The following is a 26,700-nucleotide window of genomic DNA, read 5'->3' on the forward strand; positions in this document are numbered from 1 at the left end:
GGTCAATTAAAAAAGAAAGGGATGGAGGGAGAATTTCTCCCACCAAAATTCTTGTAACAGAGAGCCTGCTTGGGTGATTTTACGCTCACAAAAGAGGGTAAAAGACAGCTGCCTGAGCTAAAGCGTGGTGAAGTGATATCTCCTGCATTGGTTATATTACTGATTCACTTAGTCCCCTAGAAAAGTCATTTTACCTCTCTGCATCTGAGTTTCTTCATTTGTAAAACTAAATTAATGATATCTACCTTGTCTCACATACTTGGGGATAAAATATTTTCTTTCTTCTTAGTAGGCAAAAGTTTGCAGAAGCATTCTAAAAAGTAGCAAGCACCAGGAGTATATAAATGCAAATTATTATTCTAAAGAACATAAGGTACATGAAAAGCTTAGGCTTTACCTTTCACATTTGGAATAAATGTTGAATTCTGGACAATGAAATAGAAACAGAAGCCACCCTCCAGGCATGTTTTCATGTGGAATTAACTTCTGGCTTCTTTCTGAAATAATTTGCTTTGGCTTTTAAAACAATTTTTTGGTCTAGTGCAAAAAAATTTTACCTAAGGAAACTGAGCAGCTGGAAAGAGCATTTCAGCCTATAAGCAGAACAAAAAGTGTTCCTATTTCGTTAAATATAATTCTAACAGTAGAAATGGAGACCAGCTAAGGTCATTTTACTGTCTCTCTCTATATCAGCCAAGTTCACACCTCGCTATATTTAGGCAAGGTATGCACACCCATTAAAGATAGAAGGAGGCTTCGGCTCATAGCAGTGAGGTCATTACCTCAGCTGAGGGGAAAAGACACTAACAGAAAAACTGTATTGGTGTGTTCCTTGGAAACCAACAGAACAACCAATGATCAATTTTATTTCATCCGGAATAGATAAATGTATAATCTCGAATACGCACTGAGCAATCTCTACCACACATAACTCTGGTACAGTCATGCCTAAAGCAAAGCAGCAAATATCTTTCAGGTAACTCACTTTCCAGGACTGCCTGCCATGCCTTAGCCAGAGACAAGAGCTACCCAGGTCAACAGGGTAAAATGTTCAGCAGTTTAGTCTCCTGGGAAATGGAAAAAAAACAGGTTTTCAACCTGGGAATCATCATTGTATCAATTAACACCAGGGTCTAGCTGGGAAGAGTCTTCCAGCAGTCTTTTAGTTGACAGCTTCCTGGATCCAGCATCCAGCAAAGGAAGAACCAAATGGGGACAGAGCTCACTCACAGATTTAGCAAAAACAAGCAAACAAATAAAAAACAAAACAAAAGCAAATCTTGCGGTACACAGATTTTCTAATAAAGATTGTGTTGAAGTGAGTCAGGCACAATAGGTGCCCTCAAAAGGAAGCTAAGAAAACCCCACTAACAACCAGATGTTTTTGGAACCTCCTCAACTGTCAGGGGAAACCAATTAAACATATTGAAAGAATGCAGTAAACATACTTCTGAAACATAAGTATAACAAATAGAAATGTTTATCTTCAAAGAAACTGCATGTTGCAATTATGAAATTTCTTCTGCAGGAAAGTTAAACATATTCGATGTTTCCCCAAAGGTTTTCTAATGTCACTAAAGAGGATTATGAAATCTGCTGTACTTTTTTTTTCAAATCAGCAGTTAGTGCTATAAAGGTAATATTTTGAATGTTTTACTTTCTTCTTCATATTTAAACAATAGTTACCAAACAGAAACTTAACATAGTTCATATGCATTTATGTATTCATTTTCCAATATTTACTTCTAAACCAAAAGTTGTATAAATAGTTCATAGCTCAATACTTTAAAAAGGGTCAATTTTGAAAAATCTCATCTTGTTTCTTCTGTATTAAAAACACTATTTAATGAAAAATGTCTATCTAAATATTCTCATTTAACACTAAAAAGCTGAAATAATCCCCTTGGAGGAAAAATTTCTAAGATACATAAGTTTCTCCTTTACAGGGTGTTTAATTTCTTTCTTTTTTTTTTTTTTTTTTGAGATGGAGTCTCACTCTGTCGCCCAGGCTAGAATGCAGTGGTGCGATCTTGGCTCATTGCCTCACTGCTACCTCCACCTCCTGGGTTCAAGCGATTCTCCTGCCTCAGCTTCCCAAGCAGCTGGGACTACAGGCGCCCGCCACCATGCCTGGCTAATTTTTGTATTAGTCGGAGATGGTGATGGGGTTTCACCATATTGGCCAGGCTGGTCTCGAACTCCTGAACTTGTGATTCACCCACCTCGGCCTCCCAAAGTGCTGGGATTATAGGCATGAGCCACCGCATCTGGCCTAATTTCTAAGTGAGAGAAAATGGTCTGAGTTTTCTGAAGGCTTTCAAGACATAGAAAGGCTTTCTATGCCTTGAGAAAGCCCAGAAATTGCCAGCGCAAATAAGCAAATGGCAAGTTGGCAAAAATGGCACATAAAATGTGGTTGCTCACACTTCCAAAAATTCATAACTATGCGTGGTAGGCTGCAGAAATCAGCCTTAGTAGCAAAGAATGGCTTAATGGGTTGAATTCTTGGCCCTCAGTGCACAAACAGTTAAACAGCACATTCACTTCACTAAATATCCAAGCCTAGGGCAGTGGTCTTCATCCCTAAACCTCCTAACATCTCTTTATAATTAATTCAATAGGTACCCATACTAAAAGCAGTTAGAAACTCTCCTATTGCCTCTCGAACTTTTTCTTGAAAGTAACAACCTTAAATCATTTTTGCCTCCCTGGAATAGTTCAAGCACTAGCAATATTTTACCCTAACATTGCTTCATTTTATTACCACATAGGTTGTGCTGAGAAACACAAATATTCAGGCTTTATTGTAATATTCCAAGTTTTCTTTAAACAAATACCATTCTTGGAATATCTACTCTAAGATTATTAAGAAGGAGAGGGTATTCAAAGGGCTGCATAATCCTTCTCAATAGAGAGAAAAACATTAGCTCACATTCTTTCAGCTTGGGGAAATCATGAGTGATTGTTTAAAAATGGATAAATAAATCTCAGTGGTTAAGTTCAAAGAGCTTAAAAAGAGTTTACTTGGGTTTCTAAATCAAATACCTAAAGCACTCTATTCAAGGTTCAAAATTGGGGGTGGGGGAGATGTTGGGGTAAGGTCGTTAGATTCCTTTGAGAATCAGATGAAAGCTATGGCCTTTTCCTCCAGAAAAAATTAATGTTCTACTCATATATAGGCCCACATTTGCATATTATTTCAGTGTATTCATGAATTTCCTGGTCCAAAGCTCTGGACTAAAGGAACCTGATAAACACCCTAAAGAAATTATGGGTAGGTAAGAATTCATAGCCTCCCCACTACTACCCCTCACTTTTTAATAGATAACAGCTCACCTTTAACAAGAGGCAAACGCTCAGTGATTTTTGCTTGGCTTTAATTTTGAAACCAGAGGAAACACAATGAATGGGAGTTGCACAGGTTCTTCTGTTAATACTGTGGACTCTCATTTTAAAGCATACTACAGGGCCAGGTGCAGTGGCTCATGCCTGTGATCCCAGAACTTTGGGAGGCTGAGGCAGGCACATCACAGGAGGTCAGAAGTTTGAGACCAGCCTGCCCAACATGGTGAAACCCCATCTCTACTAAAAATACAAAAATTAGCTGGGCATGGTGGTGCATGCCAGTAATCCCGCTACTTAGGAGGCTTGAGACAGGAGAATCACTTGAACCTGGGAGGTGGAGGTTGCAGTGAGTCGAGATCGCGTCACTGCACTCCAGCCTGGACGACAGAGCAAGATTCTGTCTCAAAAAAAAAAAAAAAAAAAGTAAGTAAAGAAAATAAAGCACACATCAGGTAAATCCTATTAAGACCCTCTACCTGTCCCATCATGCTGTCTCCTTCACTCCCCATTTCTGAAAAATACCTCTACAATAAACATTTCTAGCTTGTAATCCCAGCACTTTGGGAGGCTGAGGCGGGCAGATCACTTGAGCTCAGAAGTTCGAGACCAGCTTGGACAACGTGGAGAAACCCCATCTCTACCAAAAATACAAAAATTAGCTGGGTGTGGTGGTGCGTGCTTGTAATCCTAGCTACCTGTGAGGCTGAGGCACAAGAATCACTTGAACCCAGGAGGCGGAGGTTGCAGTGAGCCGAGATTGCGCCACTGCAGTCCAGCCTGGACGACAGAGTGACACTATCTAAAACAAAACAAAACAAAAAAATTCTATATTACAAAGATTCCCAAGCATTAAGTGAGAGTTGACTTACTAAAGCCCTACAGTACTAGACGTAACAGGATTTCAGTATAATAAAGGATTTTGGATAAGATTTTGAAATTCATTAACATTAAATCTGCCAGCAAAAGAGGTTTTACACTTCTCTAAACCTGTTGGACACTCTAGAAATGTCAACAGCTACCCAGAGCATGCCATTTGATGACAGTACTTATTTTCCAGCAGTGTGAGAAATCTAAGATCTTATGCAGAAAGTGATTCAGCATCCAAGGAAATGATTAGATTTAGGGCTTTACTGATCTTGATTTTATAATCCATGCTACATGGGAAAAAAGATTAAACATAAGGTATAACAGTTACTATAAAGGCTAATTTTTCGGTTGGGCGCGGTGGCTCACGCCTATAATCCCAACACTTTGGGAGGCCAAGGCGGGTGGATCACAAGGTCAGGAGATCGAGACCATCCTGGCTAACATGGTGAAACCCTGTCTCTACTAAAAATATGAAAAATTAGCCAGGCACGGTGGCACGTGCCTACAGTCCCAGCTACTCAGGAGGCTGAGGCAGGAGACTTGCTTTAACCCGGGAGGCGGAGGTTGCAGTGAGCCAAGATCGCGCCACTGTACTCCAGCCTGGGTGACAGAGCAAGACTCTGTCTCAAAAAAAAAAAAAAAAAAAAAAAAAAAAATGGGCCGGGCATGGTGGCTCACGCCTGTAATCTCAGCACTTTGGGAGGTCGAGGCAGGCAGATCACAAGGTCAGGAGATCGAGACCATCCTGGCTAACACGGTGAAACCCTGTCTCTACTAAAAATACAAAAAATTAGCTGGGCATGGGGGTGGGCGCCTGTAGTCCCAGCTACTCGGGAGGCTGAGGCAGAAAAATGGCGTGAACCCAGGAGGCGGAGCTTGCAGTGAGCCAAGATCGCACCACTGCACTCCAGCCTGGGCGACAGAGCAAGACTCTGTCTCAAAAAAAAAAAAAAAAAAAAAAAAAAAGGCTAATTTTTGTAACAGTTAACAATCCTCATCTATTTTCATTACATCTATAAATGCAGTGGCCTTATATTATTTAGATTATCTGTTATATATACCTAAAAATCAACTTACACATTTACATAAAATGTCTACACTTCCGTTTGTGGTTCAAGTAACAGCTTAACAGTCTTCTGACCATTTTCTCTAAAATAGTCTCTCCCTCCCAGCTTTCCTTCTGTCCTCCATTATTTTTTCTTTAGAGCTATATCAGCTAATTATTTATTTATAATAATTTATTTACAGTCTGGAATGTAAGATCTAGAGCTGTGACTTGGTCTTTTTTTGTCCACTAATGCATTCCTAGTGCCTAGAACACGGTAGGTGACCAATAAATAAATGAATATTTACTAAGTAGGGATATGAAATTAACTACAGACAAATAAGGCACAGTACAAAAGCATGGGATATAAAGTTAGAAGACCTGAATTTCAGTCACTGCCCTTTCGTCTTCAACAAGTCATTTAATCTCTTTGAACCTCAATCTTGTTCCTTTAAAATGATGCTGAAATACAACAACACAGGGTTATTCCAAGGGTTACTGCAAATAACAGAAGTGAAAATTTGTAATATTACTATAACCCAGCAATTATTCTCAGAACACTAGCAAAAATTCCATAAAGTAGACTGATCTTGAGAAAGCAAGATATTCTGCTAACTTACCTTTGATCTTACAGAACAGTAAAGGCAGAAAGAAGTAGTGAGAAAAGTCACAGGCTTGAACTTCACTTACCAGCTGGCTGACCTTGAGAAAGTCTCTTATTTATTTATTTATTTATTTATATTATACTTTAAGTTCTAGGGTACATGCGCACAACGTGCAGGTTACATATGTATACATGTGCCATGTTGGTGTGCTGCACCCATTAACTTGTCATTTACATTAGGTATATCTCCTAATGCTATCCCTCCACCCTCCCGTGACCCCACAAGGGGCCCGGGTGTGTGATGTTCCCCACCCTGTGTCCAAGTGTTCTCATTGTTCAATTCTCACCTATAAGGGAGAACATGCAGTGTTTGGTTTTCTGTCCTTGTGATAGTTTGCTCAGAATGATGGTTTCCAGCTTCATCCATGTCCCTAAAAAGGACATGAACTCATTCTTTTTTATGGCTGCATAGTATTCCATGGTGTATATGTGCCACATTTTCTTAATCCAGTCTATCATTGATGGACATTTGGGTTGGTTCCAAGTCTTTGCTATTGTGAATAGTGCCGCAATAAACATACGTGTGCATGTGTCTTTACAGCAACATGATTTATAATCCTTTGGGTATATACCCAGTAATGGGATGGCTGGGTCAAATGGTATTTCTAGTTCTAGATCCTTGAGACCTTGAGAAAGTCTCCTAACTTCTCTGAGGCTTAATTTTCTTTTTTTTTCTTTTTTATTTTATTTTATTTTTTTTTTTGAGACGGAGTCTCGCTCTGTTGCCTAGGCTGGAGTGCAGTGCTGCAATCTTGGCTCACTGCAAGCTGCGGCTTCCGGGTTCACACCATTCTCCTGTCTCAGCCTCCCAAGTAGCTGGGACTACAGGTGCCCGCCACCATGCCCGGCTAATTTTTTTGTATTTTTAGTAGAGACGGGGTTTCACTGTGTTAGCCAGGATGGTCTCAATCTACTGACCTTGTGATCCGCCCGCCCCGGCCTCCCAAAGTGCTGGGATTACAGGCGTGAGCCACCACGCCCGGCCTCTGCGGCTTAATTTTCTTATCTGTAAGATGAGAGGAAAAAATACTAACTGCCTCAAAAGCATAATTGTTTGAATCAAATGTTATATGAATTGTGAAAACACTTTTAAAACTATAATGTGGTATACATATATTTAATTAAATAATCACTTTCCTAAAAACAAAACTCTAATCTTGATTGCTGCACCAGCCAAACAGAAGGAAACACTATCGCAGAAGTTCTCACATGGACTAAGAAAATAAGTATACATACTCCCAATTCTTACTGCAGGTTCTCCAACTTTGGTAAGAGGATAGACTACAACAAGAAAAATTTTATAGGAAGATAAAAAATAGAGAAAACAGGGGTTCAGAAACGACATAAATAAGTAGCAGAGTTCGAACCGAATCCACTATCTATTTAACTTCACATCCTAGTCAGGGGTGGACTTGTGACCTGTGCAGGGTTTGGTGCTTGAAGGGTCCCAGAATTGGTGTAATGCTCTGCTGTCTTGAAATTCTTGTTTCTCAACAACAGCCCCTGCCTTTTCACTTTGCACCAGGCCCTGAAAATTACATGGCTGTCCTGCTCACAACCTTTTACTAGACTAGAGGATAAGGACAATAGCTTAGCTTAGTCTCTCAATGATTCTATATATAAGGATCACTGCTAACTTAAAGGATATTCCCCAAAAAGAAAACTTTGAATCAGGCTGAAGATTACGTATTTGTAGTATCTGAATTCTGAAGTTAGCCAAATACTTAGTAAAAGCCAATTTAATTAAAAAGTGTTAGCCCTAATAATAAATGCAAATATGACTTGCCTTTCTTTCCTAATGCTCCATCAGATCCTAATAGGGCAAAAGGTGATGTTAGTATATGAAATACCTGAATCTAATCTAATTGACTTCCCATTAAAAAACCCAACAAAAGGCCCTAGTGATTGTAGTTTACCTTTGGTTTTTTTATTTGATATCTGCGTTCTCACAGTAAGCAAAGCAACACTCACACAGAAATCATTTCTGGAGAGAAATCTCCAATACATCACAATTTAATTAAATTGCATCCTTTAAAAAAGTTTTCTTTTCTGCTCCTGCTGACTGCAGAAACAGCTAGTGATTTTTCTCTGAGTGGAGCTGAAAGGCCAAAGCTGATGAACTGAACATCTCTCTGGCTGCAATTCAGTTTTTGATGCCTCCATGTCAAAACAACTGCTTTCTCCTTAAAGCTGGATTGACCTCGCAGTATCTGTTTTGACCTCTGAACTCCTTATCAGTCACCTTTGGTCTCTGACAGTAGGTGGACAGGCCAACCACAGAGGTCCACTCTCCAGTGAACAAAGGCTTGCTATGTAAAACAGATGAGCTGCGGGCAGAGATCCGATCTGAAGAGAAGGTGCTGAACTCATCCTCTGTTCCAGCACCATGTCCAGAACTGCTGCCACTACAAAGTGAAACTTCACCCAAAAGCACTTTCCCTGTCTGTGATTTAAACACACCTTCATTAAGGAAGCATCGCAGTCTCAAAGAGAGGCAGGCAACCAACACTACAGAAACCAGCAGTAATAGACAAGAAACCTCCTTCCTGTCTATTCTTTTTCTTTTATTTTATTACCCTCTTTTTTTTTTTTCAGTAAATTTGCCATAGGTGCCTATGGATACTGTTTAGATCTGCTGGTGACATTTAAAGAAAGAGCCTTTGAGAAACATGCATACTTTTCTCTTTTCTCCTATATTCAATACTCATATAGCCTAAAAGATGGAAACTGGTTCAAGAATTTAAATGACTTGTTCCCTAAAAAGTTAATCTCCTCACCTTTGTGAAATATATCAAGTGCTTTCTATAAATAAGGGCAGGAAATGCTAACTTCATAAGCATAGTCCTAGTCATTAAAATAATTTGATCATCTTCTAAAATTTAAGTATGATAGTAACACAGTAATATGGAAAATCTCAATATACTTAACACTTCCTAAACAGCACAATGAAATGTTGTTCAAGGTCTGAATTAATTTGCTACAGGACCTAAGCAAGTCTGTTTGCTTATCTTTTGGCTTTAAAATTCTTTAAGTCTAAAATGGTGATAATTTTAGAATAAACTGACAATGTGGGGAACAAACTTAAATTCACAAACACTACCCATATGCTCAAAAACTCTCTGGGATAATTAGTTTCTTCATTGTAACTATTGATGTACTATTATTTCATCTTTCCATTAGTTCTACTCAAATAGCTCACAAACTAGAGCATGTTTCACCAGTACTTAGGTATGAAACAGGGTCTTGATAACAAAGACAAGTAAGAATCAATTTTTCTGGGTCTTCAAGTAGCTCAGGTGAACTGAAAGAATCATATTTTTAAAAACTTTTATTTATAATTTCAGAAGCATTAGAAATATGAATTACTACAACTGTTGATGGGAGTGTAGACTGGTCCAACTGGTGAGCAAACCAGCAATCTGTATCAAAAGCCCTAGAAATATGTATGTCCTTTGTCCTAGCAATCCCAGAATTGACCCTTAGGATATGTCTTTTAGGGACATGGGCAAAGATTGAAGCATAAGGATGTTCATTAGGTGAGGTTTTGTTTATAACTGCAAAAAACTGGACATAATCAAAATGTTCAACAATCGGATTGAATATGAATCAGTCTTATGGAAAACAAACAACCAGTTAAAAGGATATGAAAGAAATGCATTTGGGGACAATGGCAGGATGTTCTCAATATGCTGAAATGAAAATAATGAGGCTGCAAAGCAATAGACACGAAACAATCCCCCTCCTTTTTTTTTTTTTTTTTTTTTGAGACATTGTTTTGTTCTTCTTGCCCAGGCTGGAGTGCAGTGGCGCGATCTCAGCTCGTTGCAACCTCCGCCTGCCAGTTTCAAGCTATTCTCCTGCCTCAGCCTGTGAGTAGCAGGGTTTTGCAGGCGTCTGCCACCATGCCCAGCTAATTTTTCTATTTTTGGTAGAGACGGGGTTTCACCATGTTGGCCAGGCTGGTGTTGAATTCCTGACCTCGTGATCTGCCCGTCTAAGCTTCCCAAAGTGCTTGGGATTACAGGAGTGAGCCACCATACCCAGCCAGCAATCTCATTTTTTTTTCTTTTTTTTTTTTTTTTTTTTGATGGAGTCTTGCTCTGTTGACCAGGCTGGAGTGCAGTGGTGCAATCTTGGCTCACTGCAACTTCCGCCTCCCGGGTTCAAACAATTCTTCTGCCTCAGGCTTCCAAATAGCTGGGATTACAAGCGTGTGCCACCATGTCCGATTAATTTTTTGTATTTTTAGTAGAGACAGGGTTTTCACCGTGTTCAACAAGATGGTCTCGATTTCCTGACCTTGTGATCCACCTGCCTTGGCCTCCCAAAGTGCTGGGATTACAGGTGTGAGCCACTGGCCCGGTTGCTTCACTGATAAGACTAGTTCGGTTAAAAACAAACAAAAAACCAAACAAACAAAAAAAAAATCACTCACCCAGGGCAAGTTCTTCTTTTTTTTTTTTTTTTTGAGACAGGTTCTTGCTCTGTCACTCAGGCTGGAGTGCAGTGGCACAATCACAGCTCACTGAATCCTTGACCTCCTGGGCTCAAACAATCCTCCTGGGTCAGCCTCCTGGGTAGTTAGGACGAGAGGTATGTGCCACCACACCCAGTTTTTTTTTTTTTTTTTTTCTTTTCAATTTTTTGTGGAGGTGAGGTCTCACTATGTTGCCCAGGCTGGTCTTGAACTCTTGGGCCCAAGCAGTTCTCCCGCCTTAGTCTTCCAAAGTGCTGGTATTACAGACATGAGCCACTGTGCCTGGTTAGTTCATTTTTTGTTTTTTGAGATGGAGTCCCACTCTGTCACCCAGGCTGGAGTGCAGTGCCATGATCTCAGCTCACTGCAACCTCCGCCTCCCGGGTTCAAGCAATTCTCCTGCCTCAGCCTCCCGAGAAGCTAGGATTACAGACCTGCCCACCATGCCCAGCTAATTTTTGTATTTTTTAGTAGAGACGGGGTTTCACCATGTTGGCCAGGCTGGTCTTGAATTCCGGACCTCAAGTGATCCGCCGACCTCAGCCTCCCAAAGTTCTGGGATTACAGGCGTGAGCCCCTGTGCCCAGCCTTCTTTTGATTTTTTGAGACACAGTCTCACTCTGTCGTCCAGGCTGGAGTTCAGTAGCGTGATATCAGCTCACTGCAACCTCCACCTCCCGGGTTCAAGGGACTCTCATGCGTCAGCCTCTTGAGTAGCTGGGATTACAGGCATGTCCCACCACGCTGAACTAATTTTTGTATTTTTAGTAGAGGTGAGGTTTTACTATGTTGGCCAAGATGGTCTTGAACTCCTGGCCTCAAGCAATCCAAAAGTGCTGGGATTACAGGCGTGACCACCATGCATAGCACAGAAGTTCATTTTTAAGCTGAGTTCATTATCAACTTTACTGTATATAATGGTAGAGAGTTCTTTTTTTAAATGCCTAGGGGATTCTCCATTTGGAAATTTCTCCTGAAGTTATTTATAAGATTGCCATAAAGAAGAGCACTGACATTCAATATTTATTTGTTGATTTTGATTCTAATTGAGGAAGAGGCTAGATTTGTTTTTTTTTTAAGCATAACGAACTTTTTCATTATGACACTATCATTTTCTGACAAATGGGGCATATGGCCTTCCTGAGAATTTCTCCAAGCATCTAAAGTAGCAACAAAACAAGAAGAGAAAATTCCAGTAGCATGGGCATAGTAGACTACGATAACTGGGACTGACTATGGGAGAGCCACAGGGGTGAATAAGCCCCGGCACACTAATAACCAGGATTAAAGCGTGTTCTTAACAAATGTACTCAAGCACTTCCAAGGGGAAACAATAAAAAAAGTATGATTAAAGCAATAGTTTTTCATCTTTACATTAGAGATAACTAGCTAGTCTACTACATTATTCACTTTTAATTTTGAAAAAAATTATACTGGGTTTAAATTCATTTGGTTAGAATCACTAAATGTTATGAAATATGCAGTTTCTCTTACCTAGTTTCAGTATGCCATTTTTCTTGGCATAGGCATTATTAGGGCATAATTTCTTTTTTCTTTTTTCCTTTTTTTTTTTTTTTTTTTTTTTTACAAAACAAAACGCTTTTATTTGGTCCATTGGAGCCTGAGTCGGAAGCCACTGTGGAGAATCCTATCATAAAGGAATGGGGCTGACAGTTGATAAAATAGTCTCTGTGTCACAAGAGCGGGCCGTATTCACAGGGTTAAAAATATTCACAGCTCAGAGTACAGGGACGCCAAAGGGCAGTGGGAATGTTTCTCTAGGTGAAAAGGCCCCAGAAGCCCCTGCTGGGGTAGGAGGGGGAGTGGGGGGCGCAGCTGGCCCGCTGCCGGGGGTGAGGGGCCAGGTGGGCCGGGTGGGGATGCAGGAAGCTGGGCTCAGACGTCCACACACTCCTGGGTTTCTGTGGGGAGGTGGGAGCGGCTGAGTCCTGCCGATGCCCAAGATGGGCTGGGGTCCCTCTCTGGCAGGGCCAGGCCGAGGGACAGGGTTGGCTGAGGAGCCTGCTGGTCCCGGCGTGTATTAGGGCATAATTTCTAACTTTTTAGTAGCTGCAGTATCTCTTTTTTGACTCAATATCATTAAATTATCATTTGGGCTTAATGTAACATGGCATTTATATAGTTCTTGATCTTTACTGATAATGTATAATCACAGGCTTACTATTTGTATGGAAGATTCTCATATCCACTAGGGTGATTTTCACGTGTATTTGACTTAGAAACTAAAGAGTTGTACATTGCTTATATAGAACATTAAATACATTAAGCCATTAATTGGCAACTAGGCCATTAAACTAGTAACCAAGCCAATAACAACAAGGAAAAATAGCTATCAGCACACCCTTCCCCTTATAGCTCACTCCATTGTAAATATTATAAGCCCTCTGTGTCATGGGAATAACCCTGCCTACGACGTGATGCTGATGTAATAATAATATCTAAAGCTAAGCACCTGGAGGAAGAAGAGAAAGAAGTTTTGCTTTGGATTACTTGAGTGTGTGTGTGTGTGTGTGTGTGTGTGTGTGTGTGTGTGTGTTTAAATAAACAAACCATAAAGCCACTAGCAGATAGTTTAATGATTTCTGTTCTTGTGTTGCCTGTGGGGATTTCACATTGTGCTCACAGTCACTGGTACTGATTCAATAACAATGGCCTTGCAAAATTGGCAACCTTCCTAAATAAACTATGTAAAATCTGCAAACACTGGTTACTGTGCTATGTGCCTAGTAGATACTCCGGATGCTCTGCCCATATGATATACCCAAAGTATGCTCAAAGTAATTTTCTTTTCGTTTTTCTTTTTTTTTTTTTGAAACAGAGTCTTTTTCTGTCACCTAGGCTGGAGTGCAGTGGCAGGATCTCAGCTCACTGCAACCTCTGCCTCCTGGGTTCAAGCGATTCTCATGCTTCAGCCTCCCGAGTAGCGGGGATTACAGGCGCCCATCACCACACCCGGCTAATTTTTGTATTTTTAGTAGAGACGGGGTTTCACCATGTTGGCCAGGCTGGTCTTGAACTCCTGAACTCAAGTGACCCGCCTGCCTCGGCCTCTGAAAGTGCTGGGATTACAGGCGTGAGCCACCGCACCCAGCTACAATGATACCCTTCTGTTCTCTGAATTTCTAAAGCACAAATTGTACTGTTCATCTGACACTTACCATGCAATAAATTGTGCTCTTATTTATCCCTTCATTGACGTCTTATTTCCTCAACAAACTGAGTATCCTGTCTTCAGGAACCATGTCTTGTACTTCTTTTTTATCTCTTACTTCTTACACAGAATAGATGCAATTTAGGATAATGATGGAAATGACAGAATGTTTACCATCATGCTAGTGTGCCACTCTAATTATTTCTCCTATAATTTGGCTCATATCAAAAGAGCAAAATGAGCAAAAATTTAAGCTACCATATCGTATTTAATCCTCATAGGTATTATAAGTTCCATTTTACTGATGAGGAAAAAGGTTTAGGGTGATTATATAATATGTTCAAAGTCACACAGATAATAAATGATGAACTCTGGAGCTCAGGTCCATTTCATTTCAAACACTGCACTATTACTGTTAGGTACAATAACAAATGGCAAGTAGTTATTCTGAATATGTGACCCAATAAATCTTTTAAGAGTTTTTAAAGAGAATGTTTAAGGAACGGGATACTTTAAGAATTAAGTGTGAGATTTTATTGAGGAGGGAAGGGCATCACAGAGGTAGGATTAACACAATGATAGATATCAAGTCTGTTCAAAGGGACTTCAAAGAGGTTCAGTTTTATTTGTTGTTTGAATCCATTTATTTCACTCATCTCTTAGGAAGAGAGATTTACATTGAGAATTCACATCCTGCCACAGAAACCCCAACTTTTCAAACTAAAGCTCCCCCTAAAAATAGATGAGGCCAGGTGCAATGTCTCATGCCTGTAATCCTAGCACTTTGGGAGGCTGAGGTAGGCAGATCACCTGAGGTCAGGAGTTCAACACCAGCTTTGCCAACATAGCGAAACTCCGCCTCTACTAAAAAAAAACAAAAATTAGCCGGGTGTGGTGGTGGACGCCTGTAATCCCAGCTACTAGGGAGGCTGAGGCAGGAGAATCCCTTGAACCCGGGAGGCGGAGGTTGCAGTGAGCCAAGATCATACCACTGCACTCCAGCCTGGGCGACAGAGTGAGACTCTGTCTCAAAAAAAAAAAAAAAAAAAAAAAAAGGAAAAAAGAGAGATGATACAATTATGGGAAATTAAAACTTTTGATGTTCATGAGAACTGTGTATATTAACATTAAGAGAAAGAGTAACTTAAAAGGGACGTGGGTCAGAGGAGAGTCCTGAAGAAATGGCATCTCCCAAGAGCTCTGTTGTAAGTGATATTTATTTAAAATCAGAGGAAAAAAACTCTCATTCAATTTAGCCCTCATGGAGACTAACTGGTTTTTATGACACAAAATTCAGAGAACAGCAGAGACAAAAATGCACCAATAAGATGCCAAGCTCATAAACCTGACCAGCTTTTTGCTGGGGTGATGAAGTATGCTTAAAGTGTTGCTTAAGTTGCAAACAGATAAAGCCATATGTAGCATAAACTTTTCCGCAGTCACTACAGAAGACAATCAATATAAAGTCCACAATTAGAACGCTCAGGACTTGAAATATCCTGTTATGGATCACGAATATCCATGTAAATTTTGATGGATAAATATTAAGTACAGATGATAAAAGTAACAACCATAACTGGAATTTTTATTGTTATTTCTTGTGAATAATTATCTCACGTGATATCCAAAATGTCCTGAAATGAGGCAGGTACCATCCTCAAACAAACATATACAACAATTTAAATAGTTTAGTTCATTACCAAAAAAAATCAAATAATTCTACTTCTTCTACCCTGGAAACCTAAATTGTTACAACTTTTAAAGAAAGCTTATAATTGGCTAATACTGAGGCTTCTCTTTATTTAGGAGTGATTCAAACCTCTGGATTTTGTAGCTTTACCAAGTGTAACTAAGCCAAATCCCTCGAATTACTAAAAGAGGGGTTATACCCCTCTAAAAATAGATTAATGCAGAAAACACAAGTTGTTAAATTCACACAACATGCAAAAAGGGTGAGCCCAGATTTGCCCTTTGGTGTGCAACAAGAACAATCTATTTATAAATTACTGGCTACACCCTTTCCAAATTACAGGAACACCTAAAAAGGCCTTGATGTTCTTAGCATATTTCTTTAAGGTAAACTTAATTATGTTAGTTATACAGCAACCATCCTGTATCATTCAACGATGCAAAGCTAACTCTAACCCTAACTAAAAATAGGATACTGATTTTTTCTTTCCACCTTAGAAATTGTAAAGTATGTGAAAGATTCAGAAATTGTGTGATAACATCTACATCACTGTTCTTTAGCCCCAAGGCAGTTTAACATATGGTAGATTAAGAGGACTCCCATTTACTGGAAGGACCCAAGAGCAGATGGGAGCAAGATGATCTACAGCAGTTTCAGCCTCTCTATTATTGCGAGACCCAACAGCTCTTGGAAACAGAGACTGACAACATCTTTAGTTATTTGGCTTTGGGCAGTGTTTATCAGTGTTAAGTCTAGAGACACTTTCCAATTTCAGGAGTAAATATAGGTGAGCACAAAGGCAAATAGTAGTAGTTTAGAAAAAAAAAGAAATCCATTCTAGACTTATCAAAAAGAAATCTTGACTTGAGCACATCACTACCTTACCATTCCTGTTCATCTTCATTGTGCAGATTTACTTCTCAGTTAACTTGGCTAAGCATGATTCCAAGAAAGCCAAAGTTGAGAGCTCTTTTTTTATACCCCTCAGTTATAGGTTAATTACTGCTCTGCTGATTTTAAACAATCACAAGGGTGGATAAAGCCACAGAAAGTTACCACCAATAATAAAAACACAAATGCATCTTTATACTTTGACAGGGGATCATTAACTGTTCTTTCACATTTGAAGGCCATAACACCCAGAAGATTCACTAGATGTAAACCAATTTGATCACTTTCTTAAAAATACTAAATTTTAAGGCTATATTCTCTAAGGATCAAAAATAACCACAAAAAGTCAGTATTAATTTAAAATCAAAGAGGCATCTCGTACCTCTCTTAAATATTAATATTAGTCTCTTTATCCACCAAAAAGAGAAAAAAAAAGCCCTTAAACCATAAATGAATGCCTGGTTTCAATTACTCAATTATCAATTATTCAGTTATGCTTGCCCATTTCTGTAGAAGACAAGATCTAGATTTTAAGAGCATCACAGATGATAATTATATTTATTCAATGCAAACATGGAAATTTAAAAATGTGAGTGGTAAAAAAAATTCATAAAATAAAAAATACTTGGAATAAAACTTCTTGGTTCTAAGCTTTAAAATACAGATAATCCTACTACAGAGCTGTTTCAGAGCACAGAAAAAAATGAAAAACTACCCAAATCATTCTGTAAATCAGACATAAGCTGGACGAAGACAGCAAAGATTCAATAAATATTTAGATCCCTAAATGCAAAACCTTAAATATTTGTAAACCAAGCCTAGCAATATGTTAAATGAATAACGCAAAAAGGGTGTAGTTCAGTTATGTAAGGATGATTCAACTTCAATAATTCAATGTGTCATTACATTAGCAGTAAAGGGGAAAATATTATTCCGTAGATATAAAAAAGCAGTCAGTAAAATTCAACTATACCTAACTGAAAAATCTTTGTAAATTAGCAATAGTAAGAAATGGCCTCAGCTTGATAAATGATCTGTGCCAGAACCTACACCACACAGTATACTCATTTACAACACATAAGAAGCCTTCTTTTCACACAAGCCCACTAGTATCGCACTACTTAACATTAGAAGGCCTAACCAAAGCAATGAGAGTTATAAATACAGTCATGCATCACTTAATGACAGGAATACATTCTGAGAAATTCATCATTAGGCAAGTTTATCATTGCGTGAACATCATAGAGTATACTTACACAAACCTAGATGGTACAGCCTACTACACACCTTGGCTGGCTATATGGGATAACCATATAGGTGGAAAACCTGTACAGCATGTTACTATACTGAATACTGTAGGCCAACTGTAACATAATGTTAAGTATTTGTATCTCTAAACATATCTACGCATAGAAAAGGCACAGTAAAAATGTGGTATAGAAGATAAAAAGTGGTACACCTGTAAGGGGCACTTACAATCAATGGAGCTTGCAGGACTGGAAGTTGCTCTGGGTGAGTCAGTGAGGGAGTGGCGAGTGAATGTGAAGACCTAGGACATGACTGTAACTACTGTGGACTTTATAAACACCATACACTTAGGCTACACTAAATTTATTTTAAAAACTTATTTTTTCTTGTTTGTTTTTTGAGATGGAGTCTTACTCTGTTGCCAGGCTGGAGTACAGTGGCATGATCTCGGCTCACTGCAATCTCTGCCTCCTGGGCTCAAGAGATTCTCCTGCCTCAGTCTCCTGAGTAGCTGAGATTACAGGTGCCCGCCACCACGCCCGATTAATTTTTGAATTTTTAGTAGAGGCGAGGTTTCACCATGTTGGCCAGGCTTGTCTCAAACTTGAGGCTAGACCTCAAGTGATCTGCTCACCTTGGCCTCCCGAAGTGCTGGGATTACAGGTGTTGAGCCATTGCACCCAGCCAAATGTTCTCTTTTTTCAACAATAACTTTATCTTACAGTAACTTTTTAACTTTATAAACTTTATAATTATTTTAACTTTTTGGCTCTTTTGTAATAATACTTAGCTTAAAACACAGAAAAACTGGCCGGGAGGGGTGGCTCATGCCTGTAATCCCAGCACTTTGGGAGGCCAAGGTGGGTGGATCACTTGAGGTCAGGAGTTCGAGATCAGCCTGGCCAACATGGCGAAACCCCATCTCTACCACAAAATATACAAATTAGCCAGGCGTGGTGGCACGCACCTGTAATCCCAGCTACTTGGAAGGCTGAGGCAGGAGAATCACTTGAACACAGGAGGTGGAGGTGGCAGCGAGCCGAGATCATGCTACTGCACTCCAGCATGGGCAACTGAGTGAGACTCTGTCTCAAAAAAAAAAAAAAATTTTTTTTTAAATAAATAAAAATAAAAAACAGAAAAATTGTACAAATATACAAAAATATTTTCTTTATATGCTCCTCCTCCTTCTTCTTCTAAGAGACAGCATCTCCTCTGTTGCCCAGGCTGCAGTGGCACAATCATGGCTCACTGCAGCCTCAAACTCCTGGGTTCAAGTGATCCTCCTGCCTCAGCCCCCAGAGTAGCTGGGATTACAGGCACAAGCTACTGTGCATGGCTATACCTTTATTCCATAAGCTTTTCTATTTTTAAAATGTATTTTTTTGGCCGGGTGTGGTGGCTCATGCCTGTAATCTCAGCACTTTGGGAAGCTGAGGCGGGCAGATCACCAGGTCAAGAGATTGAGACCATCCTGGTCAACACGGTGAAACCCCATCTCTACCAAAAATACAAAAAAAAAAAAAAAAGTATTTTTTTTTACTCTTGAAACTTTTTTGTTAAAGACACAAACACACACGCTAGCTTAGGCCTAAAGAGTCAGGATCATCAAGATCATTGTTTTCCATCTCCATATCTTGCCACACTGGAAGGTCTTCAAGGGCAATAACATATATGGAGCTGTCATCTCCTATGATAACAATGCCTTCTTTTAGAATACTTCCTGAAGGACCTGCCTGAGGCAGCTTTACAGTTAATATTTTCTTCAAAGTAGAGAGTACACTGTAGGCCAGGCGCAGTGGCTCATGCCTGTAATCCCAGCACTCTGGGAGGCCGAGGCGGGTGGATCACCTGAGGTCCAGAGTTCGAGACCAGCCTGATCAACATAGTGAAACCCCATCTCTACTAAAAATACAAAAGTAGCCAGGTGTGGTGGTGCATGCCTCTAATCCCAGCTACTTGGGAGGCTGAGGCAAGAGAATCATTTGAACCCAGGAGGTGGAGGTTGCAGTGAGCTGAGATTGTGCAATTGCAATGCAGCCTGGGCAACAAGAGCGTAACTCCTGTCTCAAAAAAAAAGAAAAAAAAACAAAGAAAGAGAGTCCACTCTACAATACTGATAAAATGTTCAATACAGTAAATACATAAACCAGCAACGCAGTCGCTTATTATCAAGCATTATGTACTGTACATAACTGTATGCACTATATTTTTATACAACAATGCAGGTTTGTTTGCACCAGCATCACCACAAACACATGAGTAATACATTATGCTACGACATTATGACAGCTATAGTCACTAGGTGATTTTTCATCCCCATTATAATCTTATGGGACCACTTCTGTATCTGTGGTCTGTTATTGACCAAAATGTTGTTATGTGGTGCATAACTGCACTCAGAGAGATAAAATTCATTTACAGATAATATAATCATCCATGAAGAAAAGTCAATAAAATCAAGTAAAAACATATACTAGATATTAGAACCAAGTAAGAGTTTTAGCAAGGTGGTCTGATATAAAAGCAAATATCAAAAGTGATAGTTTTATCACCCACCTGCTGTAACTAATTAGAAAACGTCATGGGAAAGTGGAGCTTATTCACAAGAGCAACAAAAACCTTATAAAATGCCCATGAATATACCTAATAAGAAATGTGTGATTACCATATAAGGAAAACTGTACAATTTAAATGAAGAATATTTAAAAAACAGTGAATAATAGATCCATACATCACATTCTTCATTGGGCAGGCTCATTTTGTAAAACTGTTAATTTTCTCCAAAATTAATTCAGTAAAATTTCAATCAAAATCCTAATACAATTTTTAAAAGTGAAAATTGATAAGCTGATTCTAAGATTTATCTGGAAAATAAAATAAAAATAGTTAGGACACTGAAAAATACCAACAAGGAGGTAAAGCACTGGCATACATTTGTCTACTAAAGGTGTAATAAGTAAAATGAGTACTGGCATATGAACAGAAAAACATGAACAGAACTTAAGAGTACAGAAGTGTACTCCAAGCATCTGTAAGAATTTAATATATATGTAGCATTTCAAATTAGTGAAGTAAGAATGTAAATAATGGTAAATTTGGTATTAGAATAACTATCCAATTGGAAAAAAAAGGTTAAGCTAGATTTTTCCCTCACACTATAAATAAAAATAAATTCCAGATGTTTTAAAGAGTTAAATATTTAAAAATGTAAACATGCCAGAAAAAATATAAAATAACACTTTGAGAATCCTGAGGATGAATGGCAAGAGGTTTTTAAAAAGCAACATGCAAAATCTTGAAATCATAAGATAAAATACAACAGATTTGACTATATAAAAATGTAAAACTTTTATATGGGACGCAAAGTTAAAAGTCAAGCAATAGGCTAGGAGAAAGTATTTTTGCCACATACTCAGAATATATAGAGAACATAAAAAAGAAAAAAGCCAAATATCAATAGAAAAATGGTCAGAAGCACACTCAAATCACAGAAAAAAAAAAAACCAAAAAGATCAGTTACACATAAAAAGATGCTACACCTCCATAGCAATAAGGGGAATTGTAAATAGAGAGGTATTTAAGAGCAGGGACTCTGGAGTCTGACTGCCTGTGTATGCATCCTGGCTGGATAATCTCAGACAAGTTAACCTCTCTGTGCCTCTCTTCTGTAATTGAGGATAATATCTAACTCATAAAGTTGTTAAGAAGAGAGAATGAAATAATATATCCACTGCTCAAAACAGTGTCCCTTAGATAGTAAATGTTCAGTAAAAAATTATCTGCCTTTTTTAAATTTTTTGAGACGGAGTCTTGCTCAGTCACCCGGGCTGGAGTGCAACAGCATGAACTTGGCTCACGGCAACCTCTGCCTCCTGGGTTCAAGCGATTCTCCCTCCTCAGCCTCCCGAGTAGGTGGGATTACAGGCACCCACCATCATGCCCAGCTAATTTTTGTATTTTTGTAGAGATGGGGTTTCACCATGTTGTCCAGGCTGGTCTCGAACTCCTGACCTCAGGTGATACCCCCAACCTCAGCCTCCCAAAGTGCTGGGATTATAGGTGTGAGCCACTGCGCCCGGCTTATCTGCTATTAATGTTATTATTGGGGTTGGTGAAGATATAGGGAAAGATATGCCTACACACTGCTGGTTAAGAGCAAATTGGTGGCCAGGTGCGGTGCCTCACGTCTGTACTCCCAGCACTTTGGGAGGCCGAGGCAGGTGGATCACGAGGTCAGGGGTTCGAGACCAGCCTGACCAAACATGGTGAAACCCCGTCTGTACTAAAAATACAAAAATTAGCTGGGCGTGGTGGCGGGCACCTGTAATCCCAGCTACTCAGGAGGCTGAGGCAGAATTGCTTGAACCTGGGAGGCAGAGGTTGCAGTGAGTTGAGATCGTGCCACTGTACTCCAGCCTGGGCGATAGAGTGAGACTCTGTCTGAAAAAAAAAAAAAAAAAGAACAAATTGGTAAAGTCTTTTTAGAAAGCAATTTGGCTATATGTATCAAATTTTTAACATATATACAACATTAGGTCCAGCAATTCCACCGCTAGAAATTTATCTAAAGAAATGTTTACATATGTATACAAAGATGTGTGTATCAGGATTGTGAGTGCAGCACTACAGGAGCTCTGGATTCAGAGACAAGAAATGCTTGTTCTAGTTTCAGTTCTACCATCAAGCCATGTAGCCTTGTGCAAATCACTTCAGCATTTTGATTCTCTAGTTTGTTATGCTATAAAATGTGGACGATGACTTGCCCAATCTGCCTCAGAGGAATACTTTAATTAAGGTAGGGTCCTTAGGCCATCATCATCAGCATCATCTAGGAACTTGTTAGAAATGCAAATTCTCCAGCCACATCCTAGACTTACAGAATCAGAAACTCTGGGGACTGTGGGTAGCAATTTGTGTTTTACCAAGCCCTCCAGGTGATTCTGATGCAAGCTTAAGTTTGGAGATAAGTTCATGTGAAACCCCTTGTACAACTACAAAGTGGAACTGAAAGAGCATTAGTACTATTACTAATACAAAAAATAAGACTTTCTACCTTTTGATTTCATGAAAAGGTACATTTTGGATGAACATCCAATATGCTCCTCTACTGCTGACGCTGAGCCTTAGAAAGCACTCATGTGCTTCTAGGAAGTCAAGTTCATATATGAACCAAGTAAATAAATAAAAATATTTTAGGTCAAGTATATAAAAAGCTTAAGATAACCTCAACAGCAAATCAAGCAATGTTTCAGTGCCTTAGTTTCAAGACAAGACTTTTTTGATCAGAGGTTTTCATAATGGGAATATTTTATTTTATTTTTATTTATTTATTTTTGAGACAGGGTTTTGCTCTGTTGCCCAGGCTGAAGTGAAGTGGCACCATCTCGGCTCACTGCAACCTCTGCCTCTCTGGCTCACACCATCCTCCCACCTCAGCCTCCCAAGTAGCTGGCACTACAGGCACGCACCACCATGCCCAGCTAATTTTTTGTAAAGACAGGGTCTCCCTGTGTTGCTCAGGCTGGTCTTAAACTCCTGGGCTCAAGGGATCCACCTGCTTCGGCCTCCCAAAGAATTGAGATTATAGGCGTGAGCCACTGCACCCAGCCGGGAATATTTTAAATGGTAGTCTTTGCCAGAATTTTATCTAACAATTTTTATTCTTCCCTGAGCTTCTTAGGACACAAAAATGGCCACTTGTTTAGTATATAATGATAACACTAACACCTTGGCTCCTTGCTTAGTGACTACTTCCCAGGGACTGGATAATAGCTCTCTAAAAAATAATACAGGCTTCCATATTTTTCAGAAGTTCAGCTTTTTGTTTTACTAAAATGCACGTACAGACTCTTAAAGGGTATGAACTTTTTATGATCATTCTCATCAGTCTAATCCAAGACTCCTGAAGTTTGACCAAATGATTCTCTGAGTTGCTCATATATATTTTTTTCTAGTAGAATTAACACTTAACAGTATAATAGTAACTACAGTTTATTTCTGGAATGATTTTGATCATTTATTAATGTTCTTCATTGACAGGTAAAAAATAATACCATATTTGGTGAGTTTTATATAGCGGCAAGGGTAGACCTTAATCTAATAATGATAACATAATTACCAATAAAATACAGTAATACCCCAGCTATTCCATAATTTCACCTATTATATATAACACAGTTGAAAGTAATAAGAGCCTATGAAATTACCAAAATAGATGCCCAAAACCCACACTCCGAAAGTCATAAAGTTTCCTTCCTAGGAGAGTCCATAGGATCTCACTTTGGTCTATTCACTTTTTTTAATTTTCTTTTCTTTTTCTTTTTTTTTTTTGAGATGGAGTCTCGCTCTTTCGCCCAGGCTGGAGTGCAGTGGCACGATTTCGGCTAACTGCAAGCTCCGCCTCCTGGGTTCACGCCATTCTCCTGCCTCAGCCTGCTGAGTGGCTGGGACTACAGGCACCCGCCACCGCACCCGGCTAATTTTTTGTGTTTTTAGTAGAGACGGGGTTTCATCGTGTTAGCCAGGACGGTCTCGATCTCCTGAGCTTGTGATCCACCCGCCTCGGCCTCCCAAAGTGCTGGGATTACAGGGGTGAGCCACCGCGCCAGCTAAATTTTATTTTCAAAGAGATAGAGGCTGGGCGCGGTGGCTCATGCCTGTAATCCCAGCACTTTGGGAGGCCGAGGCAGGCGGATCACCTGAGGTCAGGAGTTGGAGACCAGCCTGACCAACATGGGGAAACCCCGTCTCTACTAAAAAAAGAAAGAAAAAAAATTAGCCAGGCGTGGTGGTGCATGCCTGTAATCCCAGCTACTCGGGAGGCTGAGGCAAAAGAATCGCTTGAACCCAGGGGGCGGAGGTTGCGGTGAGCCCAGATCACTCCAGCCTGGGCAACAAGAGCGAGACTCTGTCTCAAAAAAAAAAAAAAAAAGAGAGGGAGATAGATAGTCTCCCTCTATTGCCCAAGCTGGAGTGCAATGGCACGATCATAGCTCACTGTAACCTCGGATTCCTAGGCTCAAGCAATCCTCCTGCCTCAGTCTCTTGAGTAGTTAGGACTACAGGCATGAACCACTACACCTGCCTGCCTGCCTGCCTGCCTATCTGTCTATCTATCCATCCACCCACCCACCCACCCATCCATCCTCTCTCTTATCTATTTATTAGAGACAGGGTCCTGCTACATTGCCTGGGCTGGTCTCAAACTCCTGTCCTCCCAAAGTGCTGGGATTACAAGTGTGAGCCACTGCCCTTGGCTCCAATTTACTCTTTAACACAATTCTCACAGGATTTGTTTTTTGGTGTTTTGTTTTGTTTTTTTTTGAGATACAGTCTCACCCTGTCGCCCAGGCTGGAGTGCAGTGGTGAGATCTTCGCTCATGGCAACCTCTGCCTCCCGGGTTCAAGCAATTCTCCTACCTCAGCCTCCGGAGTAGCTGGGACTACAGGTGCGTGACACCATGGCTGGCTACTTTTTTTGTATTTTTAGTAGAGATGGGGTTTCACCATGCTGGCCAGGCTGGTCTCGAACTCCTGACCTCGTGATCCATCTGCCTCAGCCTCTCAAAGTGCTGGGATTACAGGCGTGAGCCACCCTGCCTGGCTTGTTTCGTGGTTTCTAAACCCACAGCAAACCTGAGGGCAGCAAATGAGAAAGGGCAAAAAGCTCTTTTGAGAGGGTTCTCAGCAGTGACGAGAGAACCACTGGGCTAAGTGTACTCATGTATCAAGGTACTCCCTCCCCCAAATACAAAATCTTTTGAGTCAGTCTTCACTTAGGACCCTAAATCTGAATTGTTTAGCTGCTCCCACTAGTTATTGCTATGTACCACAGGGAAATACTCACAGCACTTGAGGTTTACAGAATCAGGTCTTAGAAATAACACTTCCCTTTAGGAAAGAGCTTCTTAATCTTTTTTGAGATCACAGATCACTTTGAGAATCTGATTTTAAAATATATTTATTTACTCAACATTTTCATATAATCTCAAGGAGTTTGACTTTCTGAAGCCAATCCATAGACCTCTAGGTGACCATGGACCTCAAATTAAGAACTTCTTTATTAGGTGCTAACAGTGGATATATTTAAGTTCATAAAGTTTAGTAGTTTACTCAGAATGATTCCTAATAATTTTTTTAATGATGATAAGCTGTGCAGCACTATAAATGCTAAATAAACATGACCTCTAAAGTAATACTAATAAATACAGTTTAGAAGAAGTGAATATTATAGCAAGTCTCTTTAAAGAAAAAAGAAGTGGCTGGGCACGGTAGCGCACTCCTGCAATCCCAGCACTTTGGGAGGCCAAGGCAGGAGGATCACTTGAGCCTGGGAGTATGAGATCAGCCTGGGCAACAAAGTGAGATGCTGTCTCTACAAAAAAAAAAAAAAAAGAGAGAGAGAGAGAATTGCTTGAACCCAGTGGCAGGGGTGGGGGGTGGGGTGGGGGGCCGGGGTTGGGGGCGCCAGAGGTTGCAGTGAGCCGAGATCATGCCACTTCACTCCAGCCTGGGTGAAAGAGTGAGACTTGGTCTCAAAAAAAAAAAATTAGCCAGGTGTGGTGGCATGTGCCTGTGGTCTCAGCTACACAGAAGTTGAAGCAAGAAGGCTGCTTGAGCCCAGGAGATCGAGACTGCAAGTGAGATGTCTTCAAGCCATTTCACTCCAGCCTGAGTGACAGAGCAAGGGCCTGTCTCAAAACAAAACAAAACAAAACAAGAAACAAAGAAAAAAGAAGTGGGAAAATAGAGACAAAAATAAAAGACAAATATTCCAAAAATTCTTTAAAAGTTTGTCTTAGTAGGAAAACTCAGTATAGCAAATATATTTTTCAGGAAGTTGAAGATTTCAGCAGTCAAAGATAATTCCTCAGACTGCCAAGTCTCAAAAGTGACCTTGCAACTACTAAGGCAAAATATCATTTTTATAGCGGTTAAGGGCAGTGGCCTAGGAAATAGATCTGGATTCTAAGGACAGTTTTGTCACTTACTACCCATGCGGCCTTGAGCAACTACTTACCTTCTCTAAGCCTCAGTTTCATTATCTGTAAACAGAAAAATTAGTTCATAAGGTTGCTATGATTAAATGAGATAGATGTACATTAAACTCAGCACTGTGAAAATGGTCAATAAACAGCAGCTATTAGTTATTAATTTCAATTAACTTTTTGTGCAGAGATTTACAGTTCACAAAGTGTTATCAAATATATGATTTCTTAGGATCTTATGGGGTAAAAACCACTGTATCCCCATTTGACAGTGGAAGAAACTGATGTCAAATTATTTACCCAAAGACATT

The 26,700-nt window shown here is 39.8% G+C and overlaps 1 protein-coding gene across 12 annotated transcripts in view; it reads right to left on the minus strand.

The window, feature by feature from the left end:
• SSH2 (slingshot protein phosphatase 2) overlaps window positions 1-26,700 on the minus strand; it is a 304,291-nt gene that overhangs the window by 106,010 nt on the left and 171,581 nt on the right. The window contains exon 3 of one of the 12 annotated variants that reach the window (XM_047436968.1): window positions 986-1,067. The exons of the other annotated variants lie outside the window; for them this stretch is intronic. Coding sequence (XP_047292924.1) covers window positions 986-1,005 — 20 coding nt within the window. The 5' untranslated portion in view covers window positions 1,006-1,067. The remainder of the gene's footprint in view (window positions 1-985; window positions 1,068-26,700) is intronic. 12 annotated transcript variants of the gene reach the window in all.

The sequence above is a fragment of the Homo sapiens genome, chromosome 17 (assembly GCF_000001405.40).
Source record: "Homo sapiens chromosome 17, GRCh38.p14 Primary Assembly".
In the NCBI taxonomy this organism is placed as follows: Eukaryota; Metazoa; Chordata; class Mammalia; order Primates; family Hominidae; genus Homo; species Homo sapiens.